At 48.8% G+C, this 25,137-nt stretch overlaps 1 non-coding gene across 1 annotated transcript, besides 3 other annotated features; it reads left to right on the top strand.

The window, feature by feature from the left end:
- Window positions 6,699-7,581: an enhancer, noted in NCBI's record as "OCT4-NANOG-H3K27ac-H3K4me1 hESC enhancer chr6:33973921-33974803 (GRCh37/hg19 assembly coordinates)". NCBI's record gives its function as "activates a minimal SCP1, AML or CMV promoter by ChIP-STARR-seq in naive H9 embryonic stem cells {active_cell/tissue: H9 hESC(naive)}" and the evidence as "EXISTENCE:reporter gene assay evidence [ECO:0000049][PMID:30033119]".
- Window positions 13,320-13,821: an enhancer, noted in NCBI's record as "H3K4me1 hESC enhancer chr6:33967681-33968182 (GRCh37/hg19 assembly coordinates)". NCBI's record gives its function as "activates a minimal SCP1, AML or CMV promoter by ChIP-STARR-seq in naive H9 embryonic stem cells {active_cell/tissue: H9 hESC(naive)}" and the evidence as "EXISTENCE:reporter gene assay evidence [ECO:0000049][PMID:30033119]".
- Window positions 13,674-13,753, top strand: MIR1275 (microRNA 1275). Its single transcript, NR_031681.1, has one exon. It is a non-coding gene; the product is annotated as a microRNA 1275 (primary transcript).
- Window positions 19,336-20,108: an enhancer, noted in NCBI's record as "H3K4me1 hESC enhancer chr6:33961394-33962166 (GRCh37/hg19 assembly coordinates)". NCBI's record gives its function as "activates a minimal SCP1, AML or CMV promoter by ChIP-STARR-seq in primed H9 embryonic stem cells {active_cell/tissue: H9 hESC(primed)}" and the evidence as "EXISTENCE:reporter gene assay evidence [ECO:0000049][PMID:30033119]".

Raw genomic sequence — 25,137 nt, 5'->3', positions numbered from 1 at the left:
TCTCTTAAGTCTTCTTCTTCCTGTCTCCCGTGATCCCCATCTTGGTGACAGCAGCCATGCAAGCCAGAAACCTGTGCCTTATTCTAGGCCCCCTTTCCCACCTCTCATCAGTTGCTAATCCCCAACATTCCCTCTGCCTGCTTCCATGCCCAGGGCCACCTCCTGGATTCATGCCTTCATCACCTCTCTCCCCTGGACAGCTGTCACTGTCTCCCAGCTCCTGCTGCAGCTTTCAGCCTTTATTCCTTGTATATGTATAGATGATTGATAGATAGATAGATAGATAGATAGATAATTGATAGATGACAGATAGATGATAGATAGATAGATAGATAGATGGATGAGAGCTTTCCATGTTGCCCAGCCTGGCCTCGAATGCCTGGCCTCGCCTCCTTATGTGCCAGGAGAACAGACCTGGGCCACCCCGGCTCCCAGCATAGCCTTTATTTCAATGCTTTAAAGGTGTTGCTCCCTGTCTTCTGAATGGCATGGTTCTCAAGGAGCATCCCAATATCTGCCATCACCCTTACTGCTGTCCCTTTGTATATAACACGTTTCTTTCTTCTGGCTGCTTTTAAAGTTTTCTCTTTCTCACTGGTTTTAAACGATTTGGTTATGATGTGCCTTGGTGTAGTTTTCTTCGTGTTTCTTTTTTTTTGAGAGAGTCTTGCTCTGTCGCCAGGCTGGAGTGCAATGGCACGATCTTAGCTCACTGCAACCTCCGCCTCCTGGGTTCAAGTAATTCTCCTGCCTCAGCCTCCCAAGTGGCTGGGACTACAGACGCCCGCCACCACACCTGGCTAATTTTCCTATCTTTAGTAGAGACGGGGTTTCACCATGTTGGCCAGGATGGTCCCGATCTCTTGACCTTGTGATCCGCCTGCCTTGGCCTCCCAAAGTGCTGGGATTACAGGTGTGAGCTGGCCCTCATGTTTCTCTTACTTGGATTTTGGTGAACTTCTTGGATCTGTGGGTTCAAACTTTTCATTATTATTTGGAAAATGTCTGGCTATTATTTCTTCAAGAATGTTTCCGTCTGCCACTCTTATCTGCTCACCTCCAGAAACTTCTATTATACATATATCAGGCCTCGAAGTTGTCTGACAACTGAATAATGCTCTATTCATTTTTTTCCTGGCCTTTTTTCCTTCTGTGTTTCATTTTGTATAGTTTCTATTGCTATGTCTTCGAGTTCACTAACATTTTCTACTGTGGTATCCAACATGCTGTTAATTATATCCGGTGCATTTTTAGAAATATCAGCATTGTAGCTTTCATCACTAGAAGCTCAATGAGATCTTTTCTCTGTCTTCCATATTTCTAGTTAAAAGTTCTTTTTTTCCTTTAGCTTCTTGAACATGTGCAATACAATTATAATAACTGTTTGAATATGCTTGCCTACTAATTCTATCGTGTCATTTCTAGATTGATTTTTTTTTCTCATTATGGGCCACGTTTTCCTCCTCGTTTGTATACCCAATATCTTTCAATGTCTTTCCTTTTTTTTTTGAGATGGAGGCTTCCTCTGTCGCCCAGGCTGGAGTGCAGTGGCGCAGTCTCGGCTCACTGCAATCTCTGTCTCTAAGGTTCAAGTGATTCTCCTGCTTTAGCCTCCCAAGTAGCTGAGACTACAGGCATGCACTACTACGTCCGGATAATTTTTGTGTTTTTAGTAGAGATGGGGTTTCACCATGTTGGCCAGGTTGGTCTCGAACGCCGGACCTCAAGTGATCACCTGCCTTGGCCTCCCCAAAGTGCTGGGATTACAGGCATAAGCCACCACGCCTGGCCCCAAGTAATTTTTTTTATTGGATGCCAGACATTATGAATTTTACTTAATTGGGTGCTGATTATTTTTGTATACGAAGAAATATTCTTGAGGTTTGTCTGGAATGTGGTTAAGTTACTTGGAAATGGTTTGATGCTTTCGGGTCTTGCTTTTAAACTTTGTTACACAGGACCAGAGCAGCATTGAGTCCAGGGCTGATTGTGCCCCACTTCTGAGGCAAATCTTTGTGAGTTCTCTAGCCTGTGCCCTGTGAATTATGAAGTTTTCCACTCTGGCTGGTGGATCATGTGTGAGCTCCAGGGATCGTTCCCTCTAATCAGCCTCAGACAGTTTCCTTACTGGAACCTGATACATGGAGCAGTATTCAGCTGAGAGTTCCAGGAGGACCTGGGGGCTCGCTCTCTGTGAATTCTCTCCTCGCTGCACTCTGGCCTGTGATCTCTAGCCCCCTCGGCCTCCCTGAGCTCCAGCTCAGTCGGCTCTGCCTGAGTCCCCTCCCCCTGTGTACTAAGTGGGACAATGGTAGGCTCATCTCATCTGTTTCCCATCTCTTAGGGATCACTGTCATTCACTGCTTAATGTCCAATGTCTGATGTCCTGAGAACCATGGCTCCATGTGTTTTTTGTTGTTGTTGTTTTGTTTTTTTTTCAGCTGTTTCAGACAAGAAGGTAAATCTGGTGCCTTGTTACAGACTGAATCTCTATGTCCTCCCCAAATTCATATATTAAAATATTATCCCCCAAAGTGGTGGTATTAGGAGGTGGGGGCTTTGGGAGGTGATTAGGATTAGATGAGGTCACAAGGGCAGAGGCCTCAGGAATGGGATTCATGCCTTGTAAGTATCCTGAGAGAGCCTGCCTCTTGCTCTGCTCTCTGACATTGAGGATACAACAAAAAGTGGCTGTCAGCCCTCACCAGAGCCTGACCATACTGGCACCCTGATCTCAGCATTCTAGCCTCCAAAATTGCAAGAAGTAATTTTCTGTTGTTTATATGCCACCCAGTCTGTGGTCATTTGTCACAGCAGCCCAGACTGACTAAGACATCCCTGTCCCTTCATTTCAGTTGGCACTGGGCGTGTCCTCCTGTCTTTCTGGGACACAGATCCCATTAGGCGATTCCGCTGCTCGGTTTCACCTGAGCTTTCTCACTGCCCCCAGTTTAATAACAAGAAGGGCTAATGCAGTGCCAGGCACTATTTTAAGTTTTACATGTATTGAACGGTTTAATCTTTACAACAAGTGTATGGGGGAAGTACTCTTTTTGTTCTCATTTTACAAATGGAGACACTGGAGCTTAAAAAGGTTATATATCTTGCTCAAGTGCACGCAGCAGGAGGAGTTGGAGGTGGGGCTGGGATTTGAACCCAGGCGGTCTGGCTCCAGTCCTCACCCTTAGCCTCTACTCCACACTGCCTCCCTAAGACACTCTGGTTGGTCTCTGCCTCCACCATTCATTTCTCCATTCAATTGTGTTTCAAGCACTACTGTGAGCCCAGATATACTGCAGTTCTTGGAGACATGGAGCAACTAGCTTGAAGAAACAATTATAAAATATGGGGAAGAAGAGAGTGGCTACACACACCAGCAGCTCAGAAAAGGGTCTCTGAGTCAGCTTCCTGAAGGAGTTAACACCTGAGCTTATCCCTAAAGGTCCATCTGGTGGAATGGAGACAGGGAAGGGATTTCAGAGATGAGCAAAGGACAGAGATGATCAACAGCGTATTTGGGAAGAGAGGCCCAGTAGAGATACTGGGAAGACCAAGATGAGCACTCCAGGGGTGACAGATGAGGCTGAAGAGGCGGGCAAAGGCAAGGGGAGGGGGCCTGTGGGCTACACCCAGTGGCCTGGACTTTCTTCTAAGAAGGGAGTGACCTAGGTGGAGCTGTGAATTTGGACAACCTCTCTGTGGGTGGTGGGTTGGAAGGGTCTGGCCTGGAGGCTGGGAGACCTGTTACGAGGCCATTGCTATGGGCCTGGTGAGAGATGAGGGCCTGGGGACGAGGGACTCGGTTGGATGCAGAAGATAACTGAGCAGATGGAGTGGGGCAATGCTGGCATGGATGACTGGATGGTGGAGCTGCCAGAAGGGGAGAGTGAAGACTTGTGCTTCTAGGTGATATCTTTAAAAGGAATGGGCATGTACTCCTTTCAACCCTTTCCTCTCCCCTCCTGCTGGAATGCAGATGTGATGGCAGGAGTGGGAGTAGCCACCTTGAACTCAGAGACTGAAGTCAAGTTTAAGGGATGGCAGAGCTGCACTGTAGCCTGGAAGTACCAAGCTCTGGGCCATTGTGTGTGGAAGAACTCAAGTTCTTACTGGTTTAAGCCATTCTATTTTGGAGTGTCTGTAAGAGCAGCTTAGCATCTACTTGAACTAATGCACCTACATGCCACTGATGCACCAGTGGCATGCTGGTGCACACTGCATGCACCAGTGTTGAGCTTTGTGTAGGCTAATCCCTGTGCCAGGGATGCCATCCCTTCTGGTACCTCCACCTCTACCTGCTTGGACAACGGGCACCATTAAGTCAAGATTGGTGGCTCAAGACTGTAGTCCTAGCTACTCAGGAGGTCGAGGCAGGAGGATTGCTTGAGGCCAAGAGTCTGAGACCAGCCTGGACAATATAGTGAGACCTTGTCTTTAAAATAACAACAATAATATTTTTTGAAAAAAGATTCTACTTTGGCATTCCCTCTTCCAAGAATAGTCCTTCTGCTGTACCTCCACTACACTACATTTTATTGTGCTTTCTTGGCTATTTCTGCATCCCAGACCATAAGCTTCTTGGGGGCCATATCTTATTTCTGCTTGTGGGGTCAGTGCCTTCCTCTCCTAGGGACTCAATATGTGTTGGTTGAATGGTTCTGAGCAGTGGGTGCAGACAGCATGTCACAGGGTTGCTGGAAGAATTAAATGAGTGCAGTGTTATTTGTCATGTGGTCTGGGTTATGCTGTGTGACAGTCAGAAATTCTCAGTGGCTTAAAAGCACAAGATTGTTTTTCCTCACTCACACTATCTATCCGGGGAGGGGGGTCTGCTCATTATAGTGACTCGGGGATTGCAGATGACGCAGGCTCCTCCAATCTTCATGCGAGGCTTCCCTGGCAGGGGAAGAGAATATGGAGAACTGCACGCTGGCTCTTCGTGCTTCCACCTGAAAGCAGCACATGTTCTTTCTCTCATATTTCATTGTCAAAGCAAGTCCTGCAGCCACACCTCAAGAGGGGTGAGGATATGTAATCCTATTGCCTAGAAGAGGAGAACTGGAGCTATTGGTGAGCCATGACAACGGCTACCACAGTTGGGTATGGAAAAGTTTGGCACGGTATCGAGAACATAGCATACCATCAACCAGTGTTTGTTTTGGTTCCCCAGTCACTCATCCAACCGTGTCACAGTGGTGAAAAACAGTTAATGTTCCTTGTCTCATGAAGCTTATGGTCAAGTGGGGAAGAGGGGACAGACATTTCTCAAATCAACATACTCATATCCAGATAATGACAGTTTGTAATAAGAGCTTTAAAAGACATGAACAGGGTCTCTTGAGAGAAAATAATGGTGTGTGTGTGTGCATGTGCGTGTGTGATTACTTTAGAATGGGGAGTCACAGAAGGCCACCTGAGGAGGCAGCGTTTGAGATGAGACCCACAGAAAAAGGAAGAAGTCAGGGAAAGCCCGGGAGAAGGTGTTTCAGGGAAAGGGGATAGCATGTGCTAGGCCCTGGGGTGGGAAGGGGGCTGGTCTGGCAAGTTTAAGAAATTGAAGGAGGCCCGTGAAGCAGCACAGAGGGATTGGGGTGGAGGGCGGAGTGAAGTGAGGGTGGAGAGGCCGGGACCTAGGCATCCACTGGAAGGCCGCTGGGAGGCTTTAAGCAGGATGGGGCCTGACACACACCCTTAGTGACCTGTGAAATGTTTGTGTCTCTGGGCTCAGACCACAGAATCCTTTGCTTCTCCTGCGCTTGCTACCTGGGGGATCTCATCAGATCCTGTGGTTCCAACTCCGAAGTGTGCCTCTCCAGCCCTGTCCTTGCACCTGAACTTGACCCGTGTGGCCCACTGCCTACCCCCAGCTCTGCCAGGCACCTCCAGGTGACCCTCCACCCCCTTTTCCTCCTCCTCCCTCCCCTCCTGCTCTCAGTGAAAGGCCCCACCACCCTCATGGGCAGAAACCTTGGGGCCAACCTTGGCTCCTCCCGCTTCCTCACCCTCCTCATCCATGTGTCTGCAGCTGCCCTTGCCTTGCCTTAGGACACCTCCAGAATCCAACAGCTTCCCTCCACACGGTCCCATCACTGCCATCCTTAGCCTGGGTTCTGAGGGGCCCTCCCAGCGGATCCCCGCTTCAGCTCTTGGCCGTCAGTCAGACCCCCACACAGCAGTCAGAGGGATCCTGTGAAATGTCAATGGATCCTTCCACACTGCTGCTGAAGACCCTCCATGGCAGTCTATGAGACCTTAAACCCAGTCTATGAGACTGCAGGGCCCAGTCCCCGGGCATTTCTCCAGCCTCATCTTCCTTTTTTCTCTTTCTCACTCCAGCCACTTGGGCCTCCTCACTCTTTCCAAACACTCGGCTGCTGTTCCTTCAACAGGGAACGCACTTCCCCCCAATTCTGGCAGGCTCTCCTGAGCTAAGTTGCCTTCACAGAGAGGCATTTCCTGACTGGCCCACCTTAGACAGCACCCACCCCGCATCCCTGCAGCCACCTATGGCTTCATCTTCCCTCCTAGATTTCATCACTCCCTGACAGTAGTTACTGTGTCGCCCTCCCCCAGCAGAACTTAGCACTGCACAGGTAGGAACTTTGATCTGTTTTCTTTTCTTTCTTTCTTTCTTTTTTGAGATGGAGTCTGGCTTCATCACCCAGGTTGGAGTGCAGAGGCACCATCTTGGCTCACTGCAACCTCTGCCTCCTGGGTTCAAGCAATTCTCCTGCCTCAGCCTCCTAAGTAACTGGGATTACAGGCATGTGGCACGACACCCGGCTAATTTTTTTGTATTTTTAGTAGAGATGGAGTTTCACCATGTTGGCCAGGCTGGTCTCGAACTCCTGACCTCAGGTGATCCGCCTACCTCAGCCTCTGAAAGTGCTGGGATTACAGGTATGAGCCACCGCACCCGGCCTGCTTTCTACTGAACTTCCAAATCCTGAAACCGTGCCTGGCACATGGAAGATGTTTTATAAATATTTATTAAATGAATGAATGAATGAATGAATGAATGAAGCAAATGCCTGAAATTCTAGGCGCCATTAGAAGGACAGAGACCTTGCTTTGTTTTATGGAGAGAGAGGCCAACTGGGGTTACTGAAAGTCTGTGTTTCTGGAGGTGCAGAATGAACTACTTTGGAACAGATTCTGTTTGCTTTTTCTTCACTCCAGGTGGGGCCCTTTAGTTCCACACAAGCAAGCCAGAGCCCACCCCCATTTGTTTGCAGAGGAAACTGAAAAGTCATCCACCACAAATTGGAATGCAGATGCTGCAGTTTGCCGCGTCGAGTGTGCTGTTTAGTCATGTAAATTGGGAGCGTCTCTATCCCGGCTGTGCCCTTGAAGCATTAGGGAAATGCTTTTCTCTAAATGCACATTTAGACTGAACTGTGGCTGTCCCAACATGGTGTCACTTTGATGTTGAACAACCAGACTCTGGAGATGTATTTTACAGTTATTATGATTGCCTTGCCTAGTCCCAGAGGCAGTCCTCATTCATTCATTCATTCGTTCAATCATCCATTTATTCATTCAACAAGTCAGTACTGAGCACGTTGTGTGGCCCAGAGTGAACCAGGCTGACACAGACTCTGCAGGAAGCAATGAGTATTCCTGCTGCAGGCATCGCTTGGGTCTAGAGCCATGAGTAGGGAGGGGGGTGCAGGAGAGGACAGCCTGAGGCTGTGAGCCAGGGAGGTGAAGAGACCTGGAGATCTGGAGAGGCAGGAAGTTGTGGAATCAGGCCTTGGCTTCATGGAATCTGGCAGGGGCCACAAGGAGGGTGGGATTTGTGGGTTTGTGAGCCTCAAGAGCAACTGCTGCTGGCAGGCAGGTCACACACTCTCAGGACCCTGCTGATTGTCTCCCAAACCTTCAGTAGCACATGCTCTGGGCTTCCAGCTGCACACTGGTGCAGGGAGAGGGGGTGAAATAAAAAAGGTGGTTACCAGGCAGAGAGAGGCGAGCTGGAGCAGTAAACATTAGAGAGAAGGATGCAGGCACGAGGGACAGTGGATGCCTTGAGGAATCGCCATCCACAGAACACCCAGAAGTGCTCCACAAAATGAAACAACCATTCTTTTTCAATACATGGCTGGGTTTGTAAAATGAATGAATGAATACAAGGAAAACCTTCAGGGTGTCAAACATAAAGAGGGTGCTGGAAGCCTGAGTGTAGGGGACTCTGAAGCTGTTGGGAGGCCTCAGGTGGTTTGCAGATCATGCTTCTCCAAGAACCAGATCCAGGTTTCCCAACAGCAGCATGATGGGCACTTTGGGCCTGATTATTCTTTGTTGTGAGGGGCTGTCCCATGCATTGTAGGATGTCTAGCAGCACCCCTGGCCTCACCCACCAGATGCCCGTAGCACTTTCCTCCTCTAGTGTGACAATCAGAAATGTTGCCAGACTTTGCCAAATGTCTCCTGGGGGACAAAATCGTCCAGGTGGAGAACCACAGGCCTAGAGGCTTGGTTGTAAAGGGCCCCACAAGGAAGAAGGGCTGTGGGCCCAGGGCAGTGGGCAGTTGTAATTGAGAGCTCCACAAAAAAACTAAGACTTTCAAAAGTCTACACTTTTTGTGGAAGGATAGAGAAAAACATCCATTCGGTGGCAAAGAGAAATGATAAGAACATTTGTCTATTTTGGCATGTGCTCTTTGTAGGAAAAAATAAAAGCCTTCTTTAAATTTTGTAATCACAAGCCTGACCACACAGGGGTATAGGTAAATGTTTGCGTTATGTGTGTTCCAGGAAATGCCAGGTGGTGGAACTAACTCCAAGTGTGTTAGTAGCACCTAGCCACCTGGCTGGCAGAAGCAAAAGCAAATTCTCTTGGGAGGGACACACCTTCAACTTTTGCTGTACAAGATTCCCATGGATAGAGACCAGCTAAGCTCAAGTTTACAATACAGAATTACAAAGCATACAGGGAAACAACTGATCACAAGGAAGTCAGTAAAAACCACAAATGGCAGAAGTAGACCTTCAAGACTTAAGATATTGGAATAATCAGATCCAGAGTATATATATGTATATGTGTGTGTGTGTGTATTTTAGAGACAAGGTCTCCATCTGTCACCCAGGGTGGAGTGCAATGATGATGTGATCTTGGCTCACTGAAGCCTCTACCTTCTGGGTTCAAGTGATCCTCTTACCTCAGCTTCCTGAGCAGCTAGGATGACAGGCTCACATCACTGTGCTTGGCTGGGTTTTTTTTTTCTTTTTTTGTAGAGACAAGGTCTCACTATGTCTCATTATGTTGGTGGTCTCAAACTCATGACCTCAAGTGATCCTCCCACCTCAGCCTCCCAAAGTGCTGGTGTTATAGGCATGAGCCAACTGCATCTGGCCCAGAATATTTCTTTTTTAAATATCATATTTAAAATGTTTAAAGAAATAAAGATGCTATCAGGATAACCAAGCAAATTATGAAAATGAACAAATAGACTCAGAAATGAAAATGATAATATTGAAATTTAAAACCCAATAGATGGGTTAGACAGCATATTAGATACACCTGAAGAGATAATTAGTGAACTGGAAAACAGATATGAAGAAATCATTAGCTATAATGCAGCACAGATAGAAAAATATGAACAACAGGAATAAAAATATGGAATACAGAAAGGGGAGTTGAACAAATGTCATCTAGGAATTCCAGAGGAGATCACTGAGAGAATGGGAGAGGCAATATTTAACAATGTGTTGATTAGAAATTTTTCAGAAATGATAAGATAAATCCTGGGAAGGAAATATAAAGATCTGAGCAGAGTAAATAAGGAGAAACCCAGACCTACAAACATCATAGTGAAACTGCAGAAACCTAAAAAGATCTTAAAAGCAGGTGGATAGAAAAAAGTCAGATTACAATGACCCCAGGATGGATCTATGGGACATGAACACTGTTCTGGGGTGCCCAGAAATGACCTAGTGAAGGGGACCCTAGGAGAAATGCTGGATTACTGCTAGCATGAGCAGGTGGGGGCTCAGACCATTACTATTAAAATTAAAAATGTATATCATCTTAATGATCCCTCAAATGGGGCCTGGTGGTTTCACATCCACAGAGGGAACCTCTCACATCCCTTTGGAACACGGGCTGTTGGGGGTTCCTTTTGATTGGAGAGGGTGAGGGCTGCCTTTGCAGCACTGCCTGGCTACAGTCTGGGGAGAGCAGTGGGAGTTGGGGGACTTGGAATTGACCCTAAAGGCAGTGGGAGGCCTGGGGCTGACCCTAGACCTCTGATCTTGCTTGGGACTCTAGTCCCCCCTCAAGGGACTCTGGAGAACACTAAGGGCTGCCTTCCCATCCACAGAGGCTTCATGGAGGAGGTGATGGGCTGTAAGAGGAAGCTGGGAATGGCGGGATGGGGAAAGGTGGGGTGGGGCTAGGGTGTGTGCAACAAATTGGGGACGACAGGGGAGAGGCTGAGAAGGAGAGAGTGCTGAGGGGAAACTCAGGGACTGTCTCTATTTCTGGGTAAAGACAGCACCTCCCCTGGTCCCACACCTTATGCGTACACACCCCCTTGTCCATTCTTGCTATGAATTTCTCACCAAACAAGCTTTATTAATCGTCTAATAACCGGATTAATTAAGGACGCTGAAAGTAAACAGCAAGAAGGTAATTTGCTCCTGAGTACTGTGTAATTGTGGGAGGATGCACTCATTTGCATATGCAAAGAAGGCTCCAGACAGACATGATGATAACGGAAGAAAGTAATTGTGTACCTAAGCGCCAGACCCCAGCTCTTCCTCTTATCTCCCACCTCCTCCAGAGCCCTCCTTAGCCTCAATAGAGAGGCCAGCCCAACTCCCCAGCCCCAACCATCCCAACTCGGGCCCCAGCTCCCCAAGCCCTGTGGCCCAGGCCGGCTCCTCCAGCTCCTTCCCCTAAGGGAAACTGGGAATTCTGGCCTTGACCCTGCCTGAATGACCATGGCAACAAGCCTTTTATCCTTAAGGCCCCCCAGTCTCCGTTTCCTCAACTGTAAAATGGGCTCCTAATTACTCCGCCCCTATCATCATGAAGAGGACTAAGAGCGAACCAGAGAGTCGTTTATAAATTGCAAAGCTCTGGGCAAAAGCTGGCTGGGTCTTATATTTTACCTGAGTCCAGGATTTGCTGAGTGTACCTCTTCAAAGGCCCCTCAGAATCCTACCTCCTTCAGGAAGCCTTCCGGGATTGTGCCCCTCAGGAGACCTGGCTTCCCTATGGGCCGCAGTTTGCTCAATTCTGTAGAAGAGCTGGCGCACAACTCCAGCTAAATCCACGAACCCTGGGGACGGGCGAGGCGTAAAGGCCCTGGAGAGAGGCCACCCTCTCTTCGCCTCACCAAGGCTAGGCTCAGGCTTGGTGGGGGGTACCCTGCGCTGGGGCGTCCCCTTCCCCCCGAGGGCCTCAGACGTCAAATTGTTTTCTTATGGCGGCTGATGTCTCTCCTGAACGCAATTTGCGTTTTCAAAGCAGCTAATAGATTTATTAAAAAATCCATTTCACTCGGGATTGAGTCTGACTGGAGCTAGATCTATCCGGAGAGGCCTCTCCCAGCGCCCTCGCGTCGCCATGGAGACCGCGGAAGCCAGCCCGCCCCACTCTGGAAGCCCGCTCCCAGACCCTGCAGAAAGGCCCCTCAGCTCCAGGACCCCTCTAGCTCTCTTCATCCCGTGGTCGTGGCCCTCGTCCACACCCGCGAGGGTTAGTTAGCTTGCCTCTTCCCATCACGCAGCCTCTTCCCATCACGCAGCTTGTAAACTCTTCTTGAACCCTCCCTGGACAAGTGTGCAAACCAGTTGGAGGGCGAGGGGGAGGCGGCTTGATTTATCGATTGAACTGCCCCCCACCTTTGATTTCAAACCACCTCCTTCCTGCCCGGCCAGATGTGGTCATTGCGTGGCCCTGGGGTTTGAAAGGTCCCCATCGTGCCCCGGGTTCAAATCCCGGGTCTGCCCCTCTCCTTGCCATGAGACCTTGAGCAAGTCACTTCTGCTCTCGGTCCTCATTTTGTCCTCTCTAAAAGCAATACCAATACCTCCCTGCAGGATTAGGGTGAGGCTGAGGGGAGAGCCATGCTTGAGACAGCATAGAAAGATTCTCAACTCTCCCTCTGTTGCTTGGGGGAAACAAGTTTTGCATGTTTATAGACACAATGTGAGACAAGCACGACTTGAGGCAGCCTCTCCCCTACATCCTTCCTAACAGAGGAGCCCCTAGATTGTGATCTTGGTGAAGGCCAAAGATCCTACGTAAATACTTGTGGAACATTCAGTGATGATAGAGGTTCCCCACATTCTCAAATGACAGAAATCAGAAAGTAGGCCAAGCTGGCTACTTGAGTCTGAATCCTGTCTCCATCACTTACTAGCTGTGTCTTCATGCATGTCGGCTTTTTTTTTTTTTTTTTTTTTGACAGAGCCTCTGTTGCTCAGGCTGGAGTGCAGCAGTGGTGGGATCACAGCTCACTGCAGTCTTGACCTCGTGGGCTCAAGCGATCCTCCCACCTCAGCCTCCCTAGTAGCTGGGACTACAGGTGTGTGCCACCATGCCCGGCTAATTTTTGTGTATATTTTCTGTAGAGATGGGATTTACCATGTTGTCCAGGCTGGTCTTGAACTCTTGGGCTCAAGTGATCCTCCTGCCTTGGCCTCCCAAAGTGCTGGGATTACAGGTCTGAGCTACTGTGCCCAGCCAAATGATCCTTATGTGGTAGTTTTAGGGGAGGAGGAAGGCCCTATCCCCAGCCTTCGTCTCTCCTTTTTCCTCTATCCTCTGAGAGCAGCCTCAGCCCAGGAGGTCCTGGCCTCTTGCAGCTTCTCCTTCCAATTACTCTTTGGCCAAAAGGACAAGGCAGGCAAAAGTCTCTAGGGGTTTCCTTCTGTGTTTCTCTAGGGCCTTCCTTCTGTGTTCTAGTCTTTGGGGAGCAGGACATGTGTGGGGGCAGGGCTGTGACCTCCTGTTCCTGTCCACAGCTACTCTCTGCCTCCGACTCTCTGCCTCCTGACTGTCACACCCTCAGCCCCCTGTGCTCCCTCAGTTCTGCCCTCAAGCCCTCTCACTGCCTCTGAAGTCTCTGGGTATTGCTCTGGTCTCCAGAGAGCCCCTCAGTGGGCACGTAGGTCTGGGAGAAGTGGGGATGGAAGGAGGGATGATGGACTTCGCCTGGGTTTTGGAAGAGGCAGTTTCGGGAGCTGGAGAGACATGGAGTGCCCAGGGCAGGACCCTGGTGGCAGTCCAGCACCCCAGGCCAGCACCCCTGGTGGCGGCGGCCCCTTCATTAGCAGGCACCATTGATTTTGTGTGCTCAGCCTGGCACAGCAATTGCCCAGTGTCCCTCCTTGAAAAAAAGCTGCCTTTGAAGGTTCAGGAAAGTGCTTGGGCCTCAGGGCCTCCCCAAGCCCAGCAGGGCTCCCCAGGCTCTGCCTCAACAGGAGGGTCAGTTCCACTTCTTCTGTCTCCACACACCCAGCTCTTTGAACCAAGAACAGGGTGAGTCGCCTTCCCTCTTCGCCTCCTCTCGCAGCCCCCTCCCCTTCCTTCCCTCTGGGGCTCACCATGGGACCTCCAGCTTGGCGGGACAAAGATGTTGGGATGGGCAGAAATACCTCACCAAGTTTTTACCCAGGACCCACAAGTCTTTGGTCTTCACCAAGATCACCATCTAAGGACTCCTCTGTGAGAAAGGGTGTGGGGGAGAGGCTGTCTTGTGTCTGTAAGTATGCCAAACTTATTTTCCCCAAGGCAGAGGGAACTCAGCTTCTGTGAGTAGCCCCCATGCGGTGGCTGCGGAGTTGCTGACCCTGGTGTGAAATGGACATTGAGACATCTAGAGAAGGTGGTAGAAAGGGAATTGGGGTAAGAGAATGTTAAAGAGATCATGACTTTCATGTAAGTAGAAAACTAATACATGTCAAAGACTTTAGCTTACTAGGTAATGAGGGAACCAGTAAGATGTTACAACCAGTTCAAAGGAGAGTCCGAAGAGTAGATCCATTATAGGCCACCAGGAAATGAAGTTGCAAATAGATGAAAAACAGGCCATATCTACAAGCCAATAGTCAACGGCACTTCTATCAGACAAACTTCAGGGACATTTCTATGGACAAGAACTATTTACTTTACCCTCAGTTTTGTGCAACTTACCAAGTTATAAAAGAGCTCAGAGGCAATGAAAGGCAGAAGCCCCTCAGAATCAGATAGCCCAGAGCTGTGCACCAGATGGAACACTTGGTAGACTTTCTCCGATTTCAGAGCCGTTCACCATTTCTTGTGAATGGAGGATGAGTGGGGGACAGGCTAAGGACTCATGAAAGGCATATACCCTCATCTGCTCTCAGGTTTGCCTGGGCTTCCCTGAGCTTTGAAGAAGAGAACCTGAGCCCCGGTTGCCTTAGCATCTATAGCTTCTCTCCTTTCTTTTTAATTATTATTTTAAAAAATCAAATTGTAACGTATCGACCAGGCACAGTGGCTCACACCTGTAATCCCACCACTGTGGGAGGCCAAGCCAGGCAAATCGATTGAGCTCAGGAGTTTGAAACCAGCCTGAGCAACATGGCAAAACCCCATCTCTACCAAAAATACAAAAATTAGTGTCATGATGGTGCACGCCTGCAGTCCCAGCTACTTGGGAGGCTGAAGTCAGGAAGTCAACGCTGCACTGAGCCATGATCACACCGCTGCACTCCAGAGCAAGACACTGTTTCAAAAAAAAAAAAAAAGTTATACACATTTTACAGTAAAGTGCACAAATATAAAGTCTACCGCCTCATGAATTACAGTAAAGTGCACAAATATAAAGTCTACCGCCTCATGAATTTTTACACATGTATACACCCATGTAACCATTATTCAAATCACAGTATAGAACATTTCCAGAATTTCAGAAAGTTTCCTCATGCCCCCGCCTAGTCAATAATTAATCTCCCTGGTTGGGTGCGGTGGCTCACATCTGTAAACCTAGCATGTTGGGAGGCTGAGTTAGGAGGATTGTTTGAGCCCAGGAGTTCAAAACTAGCCTGGGCAACATAGTGAGACCTTGTCTCTACAAAAAAATTAAAACATTAGTGGGGAATCATGGCATGCACCTGAGGCAGGAGAGTAGGGTCTGGAGGCAGGAAACCTAAGGCCAATTCATGCTGATATCCTAGAACTAAATCATAAGGAAAACTCCAACTTTCCACACCCAAGTAACAAAAGGACCAGAGGCTACTTCCCTTTGCAACCGCCCATCCTTTTCTGCATGGCAGATGAAAAATGGAAAGTACCTCTGATTGGTCCCCTCCCACACCCAGTCAGAGTGGTCGTGGGCCTAGTCTTCATATGCATAGGAGTATAACTTTGTAACTTTACTTTAATCAGACTGGTTGTGGGCCACTACTTTATTTACATAGGGTGTACACCAAGTAACCAATGGGAAACCTCTAGAGGGTATTTAAACCCCAGATAATTCTGTAATCAGCACTCTTGAGCTGCCTGCTCGAGCCCAGTCCCACTCGAGTACACTGTGGAGTGTACTTTTGTTTTAGTAAATCTCTGCTTTCCTTGCTTCATTCTTTCCTTGCTTTGTTTGTGCATGTTGTCCAATTATTTGTTCAAAATGCCAAGAACCTGGATGTAACACACCTGTAGTCACAGCTATTCGGGAGGCTGAGGCAGGAGGGTCCCTTGAGCCTGGGAGGTAGAGGCTGCAGTGTGAGCTAGAATCATGCTATTGCACTTTACCCTGGTCAACAGAATGAGATCATCTCAGAAAACAAAAACAATAACAACAACAAAACCCTAACCTCCTTAAGAGGTAACCACCATTCTGACTTCTATCACCACAGATTATTTTTGCCTGTTTTTGAACTTAACATGAATTGAGCCATACGGTACATACAGTATGTATGATTTTGTGTCTGGATTGCTTCATTATAATATTTGTGAGATGCATCCATGTCATTATATATATGAGTAGTTTGTTTATTTTTATTGCTGAGTAGTACTCCATTGTATGATTATTTCATCTCCCTTTGATACAGATTTAGGTTCCCAGTTTTGGCCTGTTCTGAGTAAAGTTGTGGTGAACATTCTTTCATATGTCTTTTTGTAAACGTATGTTTCAAATTCTCTTGAGTAATGTCTAGGAATGGAATTGCTGGGCCATGTATTTGACATATGTTTAGGTTTACTAGACAGAGGCAAGTAGCCCAGGTGGTTGCATCAATTTATATTCCCCTAGCAGTGTAAAAGAGTTCTACTTGCTCTACATCATCACCAGTACTTGGTGTTGTCAGTCTTTCTCTTTTTAGTCAATCTAATGGCTGTATTGTGGTCTCTTATTTTGGCCTTAGTTTGCTTTTTCCATCATTTGTGATCAATGATGTTGAGCATTTTTTCATAGCTTATTGAAAATTTGGATACCTTCCTTTATGGTGTGCCTCCTAAAGTCTTTTGGTCATTTTTGAGTGAGTTGTCTTTTCCTTTTTGATTTGTAGAAACTCTTTATATATTCTGGATATGAGTTTTTGTCAGATCCACATGTAGGTAGATATCTTCTCCCACTCTGTGGCTTGTCTTTTTGCTCTCTTCGTGGTATCTTTTGATGAATAGATGCTTTACATTTCAATGAACCCCAATTTATCAATTGTTTCCTCTGTAGTATTTTCTGTGTTTCAAAAATGTTTCCCTACCCCAAGTTCATGAAAATATTCTCTTATAATCTTTGTCTAGATGCCTTATTGTTTTACCATTCATATTTAGATCTATGATCTACTTAGAATTGTTATTTATGCTATGAGGTGGTCTCAAGCTTCTTTTTTTTCTCTATGATCCAATTCATCCAGCTGACCCAGCATCATGGATGGAAAAGTTGCAGTGGTGTCTTTGTTGCAAATCAATTGACCCACATATACGGGTCTATTTTTGGATTCTCTATAACCTCTCTTATTGGTCCATTTGTCTACCCTTAAGCCAATATCACAGTGTCTTAATTGCTGTAGTTTATAGAAAGTTTTAAAATCAGATAATTTAAGTCGTTCATCTTTGTTCTTCCTGATTGTCTGGGCTATTTTAGGTTCTTCCCATTTTTACATAAATCTTAGAATAAATAGGCTTGTCAATTTCCACAGAAACCTACTGGCATTGTGATTGGGATTGTGTTGAATCTACAGATCATTTTGGGGAGAATTGACATCCTACCAATACTGAGTCTTCCAGTCCAGGAACACAGTACATCTCTTCATCTACGAAGTCCATCCCTAATTTCTCCTGGCATCTTGGCTCATCTTCTAAACCATACTGCACTCCGGGACTGGGTAGGCATTAACTTCCATTCCTTTGACTGCTGTAGGGAGTTCACTATCCAGCTGCAGCACTTCAGGGGGAAACTCAGGCACAAGGCACGAGAGAGGGAGGGGGCAGGTAGAGAGATCTGAGGAGCTAAGAAGGCAAGGGGTCAACGAGGCCCCCAGCCGCAGTCCTACCCCCAGCGCCCCTTCTGAGGAAAGCCTGCTTGGTGGGAGGAGACCTCTAAGCCAGCAGTTGTGCAGAGCAGTCATCTAACCTCCCTGAGCTTCAGTTTTCCTAGTTGTGCAATGGGAGTGTGGTCTCAGCATGAAGAACACATGTCAGGAATGAAGAATGTACATTGCAGGGCACCTATTAGGCGCTCAATAAATAAAAGTGGCATTTGTTTTGCCCTGAAGGGAAGACTGATCTCACCAATGTGGACACAGAACCAGAGAGGGCCAGACCCATGAGGCCCTCTGTGCCAGGCACACTTTTGTCCCTTTTAAGGGCAAACTGAAAGTGCGCCTTAGTAACAAAGAGACGAGAAAAGAAAGGTGATGTGTGTCCAAAAAACTGGACTAGACAAGTGGTTGGTGCCCCAGACCAGAGGGGCTGTCCGGTCCCAGGCTGATCACTCTTCCTATTTGCACAGACTTCCGGATGAGCTCTAAGTGCTAAAAGGAACTAATTAAACCCCTGGCGACTCCTGCTTTGTTTCCCAATCATTGATTTTTGCTGACAGAAGCAGTTTCTTGCCAGATTATTCTTAAAGGGGGCAAACCCTTTTCCTACTGAACATTTTAAATACAATTTCGTGGGAGAGAGTGATTTTAAAATACACTTTACTAAGCACTTTCCTTTTTATTTAAAAAACACTTTTATAGCACTTGTCATGGGCTAAGCACCTTGCAGATCTAATCCCATTTAATCCTCACACTAACCTGTTATTATCATCACCATCTTATCACCTACAGGGTAACTCACTTGCTCATGGTGGGCAGTTAGTGGGCGACAGAGCCAGAATTCAACCCAGGCAGCCTGGCTCTGTGGCCTTGTGATTAACCTGGCCCTGGTGGCCTGCTTGGGAAAGGTCTTTCTCAGATGGCTGGCCTCCGAGGGACATCATTTTAGAAGTCCCTGGGGCTTCCCCTCCTGTAGCCCTCTGCAGCGCCTTTGGCCATGCTCCCAGCTTGCTGCAGAGACCTCATTAACCAGCACCTCCCAGGGCCCGGGGGTGGAGCACCTAGCTTCAAAGTCCTCTCCTCCCTCCCACATCATATCAGGGGACTTGGCCTGCAAATAAGGCAGTGTTATGGATTCCTGGCAGGCAGCAGCAGTGTGGCTACCAGTTAGCCAGGGGGCGCGGCCAGGACTGGCATAGGAGCTCTGGGGCTGCAGGTCGGGGGGACTCAAAGGGAGGAGGCCCCAGGGCAGCCTGCCTGCCTTGTTTCCCTTGAGGCTGGTTCAACATAGTCCTTCTTTCTAGCTGCTGGAGATTGAGAGAGAGAGACCCCCAGGTCTTGGTTCCAGCCTCAGCATTCAGGATACAAGTAGATTCCCACCTCAGGGCCTTTGCACTTGCTGTCACTGCTGCCTGGACCACTTTCTCCAGAAACCAACATGGCTCACCCTTTTACTTCCTTCTAATTTCTGTACAAATGTCACCTCCTCAGAGAGGCCTCCCCTGACTATCCTGTCTAAAATAGTACACACTCTCTAGGCCTCTAGCCCCTGACTGCATTTTCTTCATAAGTGGTATGAAAACATTCTCTGTGTCTGTTGCTTTTTTGCTTCCTGTCTCGCTCTCCCCCAGGAGGCTATACGCTGCCTGAGGACAGGGACTTTTGGCCTTGTTCATCGTTGTATTCTCAGTGCCTAGAACGTGCCTGACGCAGTATGTGCTTGATAAATACTTGTTGAATGACTGATTGGTGAGTGCTGCGAGGCTGGATGTGCTGCCTTGTGTCTCTACCCTCGAGCCTCCTCGTCTATGTAAAGACGAGACAGTGGCTGTTCTCCTATCTGACCAAGGATGTCAGGATAGGCTGTGTTATGCTGCGGAAACAAACAACCCCAGAACCTCAGTGCTGTGCTGACTTCCCTGCCTCTTTCCTCTCCTTGTGATAAGAGAGGTAAGGCCAGTCACATCTATAGGTTGTGAGTCCCTGGATTTGCCCTGCCCCCTCGCCTCGATCTGGTACTTAGAAACAACTCTGGCTTCTTGTCCCACCCATAGGCTTTAGATTCTGGCTTGTGACAGCTGTGTCCTCTTTTGAAAGAAAGCATAGAGACATAATGGTTTACCAGCAGGATGCAAACTGGTTTATTGGCTGAATAGTTATCAGTGAACTCAGCACTTAATTAGGAAAGATGGGCCATGCAGGAGCAGGGAGAATCCCTCCTTCCTCTGTGAACAAGCTCACGATTATGGGGCCCCACGAGTAAACCACGCTGCAACAATGACAGGGTAGGTGTGGGGATGGAGCCCACGGCGGGAGGGCCAGGTAGGGCTTCCTGGAGAAGGCGGTGCCTGGGCTGAACCTTGAAGGATAGAGCTGTAAGGCTGTGAGGGGTGGGGAAGCTGCAGCCTCTAGAGAGGAAGGTGCTGCAGGAGGAAGGGCGGAAGGGAAGAGGAGGCAGGGGGACTGAGCTTCGGAGCGGTGCCCTTAGCGACCGGAGGATTGAGCGAAGCTTCTCTGCAAACTCAATGGAGGAAAAATCGATACCTGGTTGGGTCTCCAGCATCACGCCTGAGTGCCGTGTTCAGAAGCTCCGTGAACAAAGCAGGCCTCAGGAACCTCGCTGTGCAGGGAGGGTGAAGCTGCCACAGCCCCCATGGCGGGGCGGGGGTGGGGGACGGGGTGGGGGGGCGATTTGGCCACACCTTTCAGAATTAAAAATATCTGTTTCTCTTGGCTCTGGCATCCAACATGCCTGGGCGCTGAGGAGAGAGGCACCAAGGCCTGGGCGCCTGAGGCTGACCCAATCCTCTCCAGCCTCACTCTGACACCCCTCCTAATAAGCCTGGCTTCCCCCGTGGCCCCCACCCTGCAGACACTGCAGCCACGCCAGCCCAGTCACCGTTTCCCGAAGGAGGCTGCTCCCTTCCACTTCCCACTCACTCAGCCTGGAACGCAGTTCCTGTCTCCACTGGAGAGCCTGCCTATCTTTTAAGACCTCACCAAGCCATCCCCTCCCTGAGGACTCCCTCCCAGACCCCGTCCGAGTCCATGGCTCCCTCCTCTGGAGTGGGTCACCAGGAGGCCCAACTAGAAAGGGTGGCAAGGAAGCCCATGCACCAAGACCTAGAAGAAACCAAGAGGACCAAGAGCCCAGGCGGCGCACGGGAGGATTCCTCCCGCGCATTTATCCTGAAGCAGGGGGAAGGATAAGGGATTAACAGGAGATGGGTTAACAGCTTTACTGGGAAGGAACCAGCAAGGTTTCATAAGGCCCTCAGGTGGCAGGAAGGTGCTTAGAAGAGGGGATTGCGGGGGAGGGGGGCCCCAACCTCTATCAAGATACAGAAAATTATCATTGCTTCGGAGAGCTTCCCCTGGCCCCTTCCTGGAGAATCTCTGCCAAGAGACCATCCATGGTCCATTTTTTCTAAGACGGCCACCCAGGTAAAGACTACATTTCCCTGTCTGCCATGTGGCTCAGATTGTGGAGGATGAGGGATTAGATTCAATGGGGCTCAATGAGCAGGAGGGTGAGGGTCTGGGGCTGATGGGCAGCTGGGAGGTCTACAGAGGGGCTTCCTCCTTTGATTGCTTGGGGCAGCTCAGGGGGCAGCATTTCAACTGAGAGGTTTCCTTTTTTTTTTTTTTTTTTGAGAAGGAGTTTCATTCTCGTTGCCCAGGCTGGAGTGCAATGGCACTATCTTGGCTCACTCTAAACTCCGCCTCCTGGGTTCAAGCGATTCTCCTGCCTTGGCCTCCCAAGTAGCTGGGATTACAGTGTGCACCATCATGCTCGGCTAGTTTTTTGTATTTTTAGTAAAGACGGGCTTTCACCATGTTGGCCAGGCTCTTCTCGAACTCCTGACCTCAGTTGATCCACCCGCCTTGGCCTCCCAAAGTTCTGGGATTATAGGCGTGAGGCACTGCGCCCGACCCAATTGAGGGGTTTCTCTTAATCAAGGAACAAACAGAGCATGGAACAGTCTGGCGTTTGGGTAAGACAAAGACTGTTGTGTGTCCTTTGCCAACTAGACTATTGCCAACGGGACACGCGAGAAGCTGGTAGGAGGATTTGGGTGGCCAGAGAATAGGATGGAGGCAGGGGACACATTTTCCATAAACATTTTGTTATGAAAATTTCTAAACATAATGGAAAAGTTGGAAGAGTTGAACAAAGAACACATCCATTTGTCCATCACCTCAATTCTACAATGAACAGTTCATGAGATTTACTTTGTTCCACGTATCTCATCCACCCATCCATCTTATTTTTTGAAGCATTTCAAAGTAAGTTGCAGACATCAGTGCACTTCACCCCTAAACATTCAGCATGTGCACTGTTAACTAGAGCTCAATATTTGTTTCCAGTTCCTTTTTTGTGTTTGGTGTTTGTTTAGAGATGTTTAGAGATACTTGCATGAAGCGGAATGTACCAATCTTAAATGGATCATTCCATGAGCTCTTAAAAATGCACCTGTGTAATCCAATCTGTTTTTTTTTTGAGACAGAGTCTCCATCTTGTCCCCCAGGCTGGAGTGCAGTAGTGCAATCTCAGCTCACTGCAACCTCTGCTTCCCGGGTTCAAGCGATTCTCCTGCCTCAGCCTCCAGAGTAGCTGGGATTATAGGCGCCTGCCACCATGCCTGGTTATTTTTGTATTTTTAGTAGAGACAGGGTTTCACCATGTTGGCCAGGCTGGTCTTGAACTCCTGACCTCAAGTGATCTGCCCACCTTGGCCTCCCAAAGTGCTGGAATTACAGGCGTGAGCCACCGCATCTGGCTCAATCTCTATCAAGATACAGAACATTATCGTTGCTTCAGAGAACTCCCCTTTGCCCCTTCAATCTCTGCCAAGAGGCCATCCTTGGTCCATTTTTTGTAAGATGGCTGCCCAGGTGAAGGCTACATTTCCCCATCTGCCATGCAGCTCAGTGTGTTTCTGTGATTAAGTTCTGGTCTACGGAGTGTAAACAGATGCACCAAGTGGCAGCTTCTGAAAACGTTCCTTAAAAGACCTGGTGTGCTCTTGGCCCTTCTTCATCTTCCCTTCTTCCCATTGCCATGGCTGTGGTCTTGGACCATGAAGAAGGGGACACACCCAGGTATGGTGGAACAGTGAGCTGGAAGGTCCCTGACTCCTTAAACTCTTCATGGGTCACTGATCTATGATATTGGTGCTTGGGGGAGGGAAGTGTGGGTGGACAGTCTGGATCGCTTACTCCAGATTTTCATGTGAGAGAGAAATAAACATCTACCTTGTTTCAGCCTCTGTCAATAATAGTCTGCATTCCAGTCAAACTAGTTTTAATTACAAACTTACCTACCTTGTAAATGTTGTACTATATGCATGTATTACCTATTCAAAAAAGTGAATCATAATACAAAATTACATGTAAAATAAATAAAGAGAGGGTCTGCTGCAGAGACTGCCTGCTCTTCCCAACCGGTAGTGGAGGGATGGAGTCACAGCTGGTTCTGTGAGTTAGGACATAGGATTGATGTCACATGGCACAGACTCAAATTAGCAGTAGCTTACACAAGATAGAAGTGTATTTCTCTGCACGTAAAAGCCAAAGCAGCCAATATCCCAGATTAGTGACCCAGCTCCCACCCTCCCATATGTGGTCATCCCATATCTGTTCAATGACCATGGTTTCTGAACACAAAGCCTGAAAATCTCCAGGGGACCCAGGCACCCTCCAGGAGACATAGGCAGCTCTCTGGTCCACACTATAATAAACCCTCTGAGACCTGCCTGTAATCTGGGCAGGGGCTTCTCCTGCCCAAGACAGAACCTCCCACACACGGGGGGCTGCCAGCATCGGGCATCACAGGACTGGACCAGCTCCCCAACCTATGTTTGTGCCCTGGCTCCAAGCTGCCATCTGTGTCTCTAGGTAACCCCCTAGGCCTCCAGGGCCCCCCACCCTGGACCTGGGGATTTGGAGGCAAGTTCTCTTATCTGGCATTGCAGCAGGCTATCCACCAGCCTCCTGCCCTCTCGCTGATGTCCGGTGATGTTGACACACCAAATCTTAATCTTCTTAGGCCATCCTCACTTGCAGCTGTTAGATTCCACACCTGCCACCCTCTCAGCCTTGTGCCTCAGATCCCAGTTGTCACATTTCTGTGCTCCCAACCAAGTCGCAGGAGTCTGACCCTTGGCTAATAGCTCTCATTCTGGGGCCCAGGGGCCATCAGAGGGGCTGCTTGTCTGGCAAATCCATTCCCTAAAAACCATCCTTGGATTTGGGGCTGTCATTAGACTGGCAACAATAATAACTTTAGTCGTAGTAGTAGTAATAATAATAATAATAGAGCTACTGCTTTCTCAATACCTATCAGATGACAGATGCTCTCATTATATTTGTCTGAGGTGGGGCTTGTTTGTCCCCATTTTACAGATGAAGCAAATGAGGGGGCCAGGAACAGTGGCTCACGCCTGTAATCTCAGTACTTTGGGAAACCAAGGCAGGAGGATCGCTCGAGCCCAGGAGATTGAGACCAGCCTGGGCAACATAGTGACACCCTGTCTCTACAAAAAATACAAAAAATTATCCAGGCATGGTGGCGCACACCTATAGTCTCAGCTACTCAGGAGGCTGAGGTGGGAGGATCACTTGAGCTGAGGAGGTAGAGGCTGCAGTGAGCCTTGACTGGGCCACTGCACTCTAGCCTGGGAAACACAGCAAAACCCTGCCTCAAAAATAAAACAAAAGAGAGAGAGCGAGCAAGCGAGAGAGAGAGAGAGAGAGAGAGAAACGGAGGCCCAGAGGTGTTAGCAGACACTTCCATGGCCACATAGCTCAGACGAGGGTGGAGTCCAGGCCTGGCTGCCTCCAGAGTGTCCCAGGCTCTGCAGCTATGTCCTTCCCAAGGTCATGAAAAAGGTCTCGAGTTCAGTCCGGCCCAGATACTCACTGGCTGTGTCACTGCAGGTCAGGCCCTTAGCCTTGCCAGCCTCAGTTTCCTCACCTGTAAAGTGGGAAGGATGATATATGGGGCACAGGGACATATTGAGCCCTTCCTCAGCCATGGTGTGACTGCTTCTCTTCCCTGTATTCCTGGGCTCTTAGGGCAGGGTGCTCCCATGGTCTGGCCCTGTGCCTGGCACCCCCACCCCAGACCTTAGCAAAGCAGAGTTGGTCTGAGCTGCTAGTGCTTCTGTTGGTAGACACGCCTCGGAGGGACCCAAAGGTGGGAAAAGTGTCACAGGGGACGGGGACTGGAAGGTAAGAACAAGGAGGGTGTGGACACCGGTGGGGAGGGTGGGACACAGATTGGGGGCTGAGCCAGAACAAGTTTTAAAGCAGGGCAGAGGTGCTCAGGGCAGGCTGAGGGAGGTGACCTCCAGTGACACACTGTGAGAGAACATGCCGAGATCCAGGGCCAATGGCATGGAGTACGGCTCCTATGGGAGCCACCCTTTGGCAGAGGGTCCTCTGGTCCTGGCTGGCTCTAGGTCACATCTGCCCCCCACAGCCCTGCCCCTCAGTCCTGCTGGCTCCTTCTGAGCCTTGGGCCCTGCCCTTCTCAGGCCTCTGGAACCTCTCAGCATGGTTCTGGCCCTAATGCTCTGGGTAGCTCGTGCAGACACCTTTCCCCCCACCACCCTGATGGCACTCTGGGAGGGGCGTGGGGTGGGCAGTGGGCGGCAGGGGAATGGAGGGAAATGAATT

Source organism: Homo sapiens, chromosome 6, assembly GCF_000001405.40.
Source record: "Homo sapiens chromosome 6, GRCh38.p14 Primary Assembly".
NCBI lineage: Eukaryota > Metazoa > Chordata > Mammalia > Primates > Hominidae > Homo > Homo sapiens.
The sequence above is the reverse complement of the archived record's forward strand: the minus strand, read 5'-3'. Positions and strand labels throughout refer to the sequence as shown.